Source organism: Homo sapiens, chromosome 15 (assembly GCF_000001405.40).
Source record: "Homo sapiens chromosome 15, GRCh38.p14 Primary Assembly".
Classification (NCBI taxonomy): Eukaryota; Metazoa; Chordata; class Mammalia; order Primates; family Hominidae; genus Homo; species Homo sapiens.
This window is the reverse complement of record NC_000015.10, coordinates 36,357,575-36,364,255: the sequence shown is the minus strand read 5'-3', so window position 1 is coordinate 36,364,255 and position 6,681 is coordinate 36,357,575. Positions and strand designations below refer to the sequence as shown.

Here is a 6,681-nt window from a genome sequence, read left to right as displayed (position 1 = left end):
CTTCCTATTCTTTAGTCCCTAGTAATTCCACATTTGTTACAGTAATAAAAATTGTGGCAAAGTCATGTCTATTTTTACTACTAAACTTCCAACTGCTTTTGAGGTCCTTCGTTATTTCTTTGAGCACGTTCATTCAGGCAAATACATATAATATGTTTGGTTCAGTGTTAGTTAAACCCTATTCATCTCTAAATTTCAATCAAAACGTGAATCAGGAAGAGAGTTTGTGTGTGTGTGTGTGTGTGTGTCTGTATGTGTGTGTCTGAAGATTGAATTTATTAAAAATATCACTAAAGCATTTCTGTGCTGGTAGCAAAACTAGTTTAGAATTCATGATGCTTTTTTTAATTAAAAAGTTTTTTATTTGGTTTCTCAAGGCAGGTTTGGGAGGACTGTGTGCAGAAGACAAGTAAGGCTGAGCATCTTACAGTTTCTTTCTAGAATGTCCATGTTAGGACTTTTCTAAACTACACAGAGACACACACAGACACCAAAGAGGTAGAAAGCTGGTATTTCTTTCATATTGGTAATAGTCCATTCCGAATTTTTTGTATGTTTATGAACATCTTCTAAGTTAGAGTGAGAATTTATCAGAGCTGAGGGAGAGGAGCATCCTGTTCATTCCTTGCTTCTTCTAGAAAAGCTCTCTGAGGAATTACAGTAAGAGGGATCTTCACTGAGACGAATGGATGACGACAAGTATGTGTAAAGTTGCCAAGTCACACCCCAGCATTTCAGGCATTCAGGACTACACACAAAGGTCCTTAGTACTACATGGCTCTTTGTAATAGGAGCCAAATACAAAATGCCAAGTGTCAGCCACCAAACAGGTTCAAAGGTTTGCTCTAATATATAGTGATATCGCTTGTTCCAGTTACCTGGGAACTTTGAGTGAGGGGTGGCTTCATTTCTTTCTACTTTTATGAGGACCCCTTGTCGCAGATTTCTACTTAAAGCCATTTATGACTGTAGCAGATGTTTCTGGTTTAGAAAGAGTACTTTTTTGAACCATTTCTTTCTGTCTTCCCTCTCAACTCCTCCTCCTTGCTCCTCTCAGGAGCTAATTCCAGCCAGGTTGGAAATTACAAGCATGTTGTTTAGTGCTGGGAATGATGTGCTGACTGATGAGCAGAGGTGGGGCTTGAACTGGGGTCCTGAGAAATAGACTTCAATAGATTAGAGTATCAGTCTACTGAGAAATGTGCCATGCAGAAGCTTGATTTTCCTTCAGTCCAACTTAATTTTTCAGAGACTGTAACTGACACTGGCAGTTCTGAGCCCCTCGTTCCTTCAGCACAATTTATCAGCACAAGGTCAGAGAATTCTTTTGGGCCTGTTTCTCATGAGCAGTGATAATTATGCATGTAGACAGCCCGACTCGTATTATGTAATGCGCTGAATGAAGCAGGGAGAATGGTTTTGATTTAGAATCATAAGCACCGTCACCAGACCCAAATACGTCCAGCATCCAAGTAACCCAGGAATCACCTCTCATGTTCTGGATCAGATCCATCAACACACCCCCAATGAGGACACATCCTTTTCCTTACGACTATTGATGGGCTTTCAGCCTGACAATTCAGAAATGTGCCATTGATGTAGGCCACATCCAGGGGAGAATGCCTTCTGGGATTCCTCAGTCATCGGCCTAAGAGGGAGTGTTTTGGTGGCAGGAAATGTCTCTAGATAATGCATTCTTCTAATTTCTTTTTCAAATACTTTGCATCTCAGCTATTAGTCAGGGAAGCTCCCACTTTTCCCTGTCAGAGCCATTCACCCATTTGGCTCAGGTTTTGGGTGTGAGAATGGAGGAACTATGTTCATTTCACTGCAAGGATAAGCAGATCAATGCTCCTGTCGCTGTCTGGTTAGATGATATTTCACATCACTCTAAACAAAAGCATTTCCAAGTGAAGATGAAAAGTGGTAGTAAAAATAGACCGTTTAAGTAGGTACTCTGTGCTACCCTTTCCTACTAAAAACCCATAAGATTTTATTAACACTTAAAGCTCCTTTTTGACCTTTAGGGAGTTTTTATATTTCACAAGCTGTATAGCCTCTTATCCTTGAAAATAATTAAAGGAATTTAGGAAGATGCTAGGGTTACCTATAACTCATGAGATAGTTAAATGTAGGTAAACCAGATAGTTGAAAGTTCACATCAGAGACGAAAAGCATTAAAAGGACACTTTAGTAATGAGTGGCCCAGGTCACGCTTCAGGACCACCCACATTTCTTCCCTAGACATTCAATGCAGGGGACAAATCAATACCCATCAGCCTTGGTCACTTTCTCACTTTTCTTCCAAGGACTATTGCTGTTGCTTTCTTGGAAATAAAACAAAGACACTAACCAAAACCCTGCTGCTCTTTATTGAATGATGTATTGACAGGCATAGATTCACAAAACATGCTAGCCATGATATTGCACTGTGTTGTGACACCGATTTGTAAAAACAAGTATCTTAACCATTTGTCATTTTTGCATTGTTTGCCAGCTTTTCTTTTCTTTAACAATTTTCCAAGGTTATTTATTTTTGTGTGTGGCTGAAGATAAATATGTTTCATTTGAAAACTCTTCTTTAGTAACATCGAGAACAAGAGAAACCCAGTTGTATATTTTTTGTGAATTTCTCCAGTTTGTATATTTTCTCTTTCTCTTTACATCATTTCAATCCAATCAGATGTCTCAAGGAAGTGGATGCCAGGAATGATGAATCACTGAAGCCTGTTGGGGGATCCACACTCGAGGTAGGTGGAAGAGTGCTAGAACACTAAAGCGTGCCACGGCCTCCCAACAGAGATAATACCTTATGCTTGACAAATTGAGAATTGGCATCTAATAACTTGGTATATTGAGAATTAGACTATACAAAAATGTATGTCTGGGAAAAATATTTAAATGCTATTTTAACTGCCAGAGAGAAATCTACTATTAGTGGCTCATAGTGATGTAGTTTAGAGAAGCTTAACCATGGTGACTCTATATGGATACCTTATACAACAAAATTAATAAGGTATGCTGGTGGTTATTCTTTATTTGTTAAGATTTTAAATAATCCATGTGATAAAAAGTCAAGAATTTATTTTAGTTAATGTCATTTTATTATTTTTGTTCTACTTGTGTGTGTTTATGTTTCTGAATTATATAGTGTATTTTCTCCATTACCTTTCATTTTAAGCACTACCGAAAATTCTGTGTTACATTATGGCTTACTAAGAATGCTATTGGATGATGTGATATTTAAAATGTCTATATAATATTAATATTTTCACAAATATATGCAATACATATATTCAAAAGCCTATTTTATTTTTTTCTTTTGTTAAAAATAACACTTTTTGGTCAGATATTTAAAACAATCCAAACTATTTCATAAATATTCTGCAGAAAAGCAGTGTGAGTTCAGAACTGTAGTTTGTATTGAGACAGTATAGTGGAATACACCTTGTTACGTTTTGTGAAGAAATTCCTAAACACATTAGCATGGAAGTAATAATATGAATATTTTTCTTATTTTCTGAGAACACTTCATGTCATTCTTTTTATGTCTCATCATTTTATTTTTCACCATCCTCAATTGCTCTTGCTAACAGCCAAATTGGAAGACAACATTAGTTTCTATCTCAAAATCTTAGAGATGAAGAGGAAAGGTAAATTTGTACTCCTTTACCAATTTTAGATTTGAGATCAGCACAGTTTTATATTTGTATACCAAATATATATAAAACGATATTTCTCCCGAGGTTCAGTTCGAATCAGTTCATCTCTCTCCCTCCATTCCCCCCAGCAGATCATGTGTTAGGGTCTATAGAATGGCACAGAGGGAAATTATTTATGCTCTACCCTCTCAAATCGTGGAGAGGGACCACCAGTAACATATGCCCTTAAGCAGGCTGATGCTTAGGAAAAGGATAGACTGTTACATGAGAATTTCACAGAAACAGTGAAACTAAAAATGAGGGCCTAAGTGCAAAGAGCATCGAATTTTTATCCATTGAGAAGTGGTTAAAAATTTTTTTGAGTTGGTACAGTGTGTCTTGCATAAAATTTGCCACTCTGCCTCGGCTAGGCAGGATGATGAAGCTATATTTCATAAACAAATAAATGGTTATCAACAGGAGATTTCTAATGCTAATTAATTTAATTTCCTGCATCCAGGTGCCTTCTAGAAACTTTATTCATTATTATTAGGTATATCTAGTTAACACCAGTTTAATTATTTTCTGATTCTTAGCCTTGCCAAATGTAGTTTTTCCAATTTCAGTACTTTCAAAGAACATAACTCCTGAAGTTAAAAAGGAATTCCTATCTGGTGCAGAACAGCTATAATGGTACAGAAGCTGTTGAGCACTAAATCAAAATGAACTATTTCAATTAAGCACTAGGAGGGTTTTTGGTGGAGATGAGTTTGAACTAGATAAGCACTCACAGGATTCATTTGAAGGCTTAGAGATAATGCTGTGCTGGATTAGTCTTAGTCTTCACAAAGAGGAACCTCAGAGGGTCACTAAAGTCTTCTATCAATGTCTGTATTTTTGCCTCTGTGTACCAAGTGCACCCAAGTCCATTCATTGCCAGCTGATGAGAGTCTGCAGGCCTGTTTGCTATTTCGGCTAATCAGGGAACAGTTCACAAAAACTCAGTTCTTCTTCTAAGTTTCTGGCCTCTCCTTCTGCTGTTGTGGAGACAGTTTTTGCTGTGATGAGGTAGGTGAGATTTAGGTCTATCCTAAATGATGCGTAAACCATGCAACCCTGACTGCTGTTAACCACCATTTGCCTTTGCTGGGCTCAAGCCAGCTTTTCTTTGGCATAGCTGATTTTGCTCGTGGTGAAATGTGCCAGGGGCATCACTGATCAAAAAAGGAAGTTGGCCCTTATCTTCGGCTATAAAGTTGCCCAAAAGGAACCTTTGAGCAGAATTCTCATGCTTGATTTTTTTTTTTTAATAGTTGTTTCCCAGCCCAACTCAGGGAAATTTCCCAAGGACCATCACGTTTTACTTTGGTAGCATCCCTAGGATTCTCTTTACCTCCCTTTGTTCCAGCAGTGTTGTGGTCCATCTTCACATCCTTAAATGCTTTGCTTTCAATGCATTGGTTTTCTATATAAGTATTAGATTCTAAATTCAGGTGTTATGGAGCCAAACTACTAGCAATCTCTGAAAGCTTCTCATTCTTACTTCCCAGAGTTTCGTTGTGTTCTTAGCTGTTGTATTAACAATTCAACTCTCCAGATAATCTCCCTATGGCATATGCAACATGGGCATTTGGAATACAGTCTTATATCTTTATGAGAGACACAACTAATTTTTACACATATACCAATATAAGCATTTCTTTAAAAAGTTCCCAACAAAGAACACAAATAAACTAACCATTGCTAAGAATTATTTTGGGGGGTGGAGGTGGCCTTTATCTGGTGAAATTCCAGTGGGCAGAGAGCTTGAGCCTGGTGGTTAATTTTATATCAGATTTCAGCCAGCCGGCAGTTACTCTTGTCTGCCGGTAGACTACTTTCTCTGTCACTTGGTATTAGATGTATTACACACCAAGCAGTAATTATCTTTGACACATAATTATTATGGTTTTGATGACAAGAAAGTCTTTTCTTTCAGTGCTTTCATAACATATATTCCTGAAAGTCCAGGCTTGCAAAATGCAGCTAAAAATTAAAAGCACTTGGATTCAGATTGAATTTGAGGAGAGGGAATAAAAGAAAAGAATTTCTTGCACATGGAGGAGAACAGTTTGAGAAGAGCAGAAAAAAAAAAGAAAAGGTATAGACTATTTGAAAGTTTCCCAGATGACCTCATCTAAGTAGGTTGCTGAACAGGAATAAAATCTTCGAGGGTCATTAATGCATTGGGGAAAAGCTGCCTGGATGCAGCCATGTCACTTACTCAGCAGGAAAAGGGTGCCTTTAAAATAATAAACTGATGAAGGCTTGGATTTAAAGAGAGAGGAGAGAAAAGAAGGAGGCTCCCGGCAAGGCCACAGAAACCACACAAATGAGTTTCTAATCTTGCCACATGGGCATTTTCCAGCTTTGAGCTCTGAGTCAACCTCAGCTGCAGGCCTGGATGAGCAGTTTAACAATCCTTGCCCCTAAAGACAGATTTTTTTTAAAATAAATGATCAGAATCAGACATCTTGAGTTTCTTGAGCCTGGGGGCTCTGTGGTATTTAAACAGGCAAGTGTCTGGTGCCCCTCAAGCTGTGCCTATGGCTGTGTTCTTATAAGTCCTGGTCACCAAGCTGTGGCTGCAGAGCTTGGTATAGGCTCACTTGGACAAGTCCCTGAAACTTATGTTTAGGAGCATCTGGGGACAGTGGGAGGTTGTGAAGAGGGTGAATAGGGTGGAGACTAGGGGAGAATGGGGTGGGTTGGAGACACTTGCTGAAGACTAGCATTATAATACGTGGATGTAATAATTTAACTCTAGGAAGTTGATGTTATCCAGCATCTGATTAGCCCAAGAGGAAATCTACTGGGTTGGGTGATGACAATTGGGCTGTGACCAAAGCTGGTTTCCTTTTCTCCATTTAGAAGTAAAAAATGTGGACACCAGGGAGTCCCTTATATTCCCAAGGGTGCTACCTCTCCTCATAGACTTCTCAGCTCAAACTCAAATAATAATAATCAAGCAAACATACTTGAATGCAGCTCTAATTTTAGT

The 6,681-nt window shown here is 38.3% G+C and overlaps 1 long non-coding RNA gene across 2 annotated transcripts in view; it reads left to right on the top strand.

Moving 5' to 3' along the window:
- Positions 1-2,741: 2,741 nt before the first annotated feature.
- LOC105370767 (uncharacterized) overlaps positions 2,742-6,681 on the top strand; it is a 51,260-nt gene continuing 47,320 nt past the window's right edge. Inside the window, exon 1 of one of the 2 annotated variants that reach the window (XR_932108.3) lies at positions 2,742-3,016. This is a non-coding gene — a long non-coding RNA (uncharacterized LOC105370767). Of the gene's footprint in view, positions 3,017-4,408; positions 4,710-6,681 lie in introns of those variants that run through there. The other variant, XR_932109.2, reaches the window with a different exon arrangement.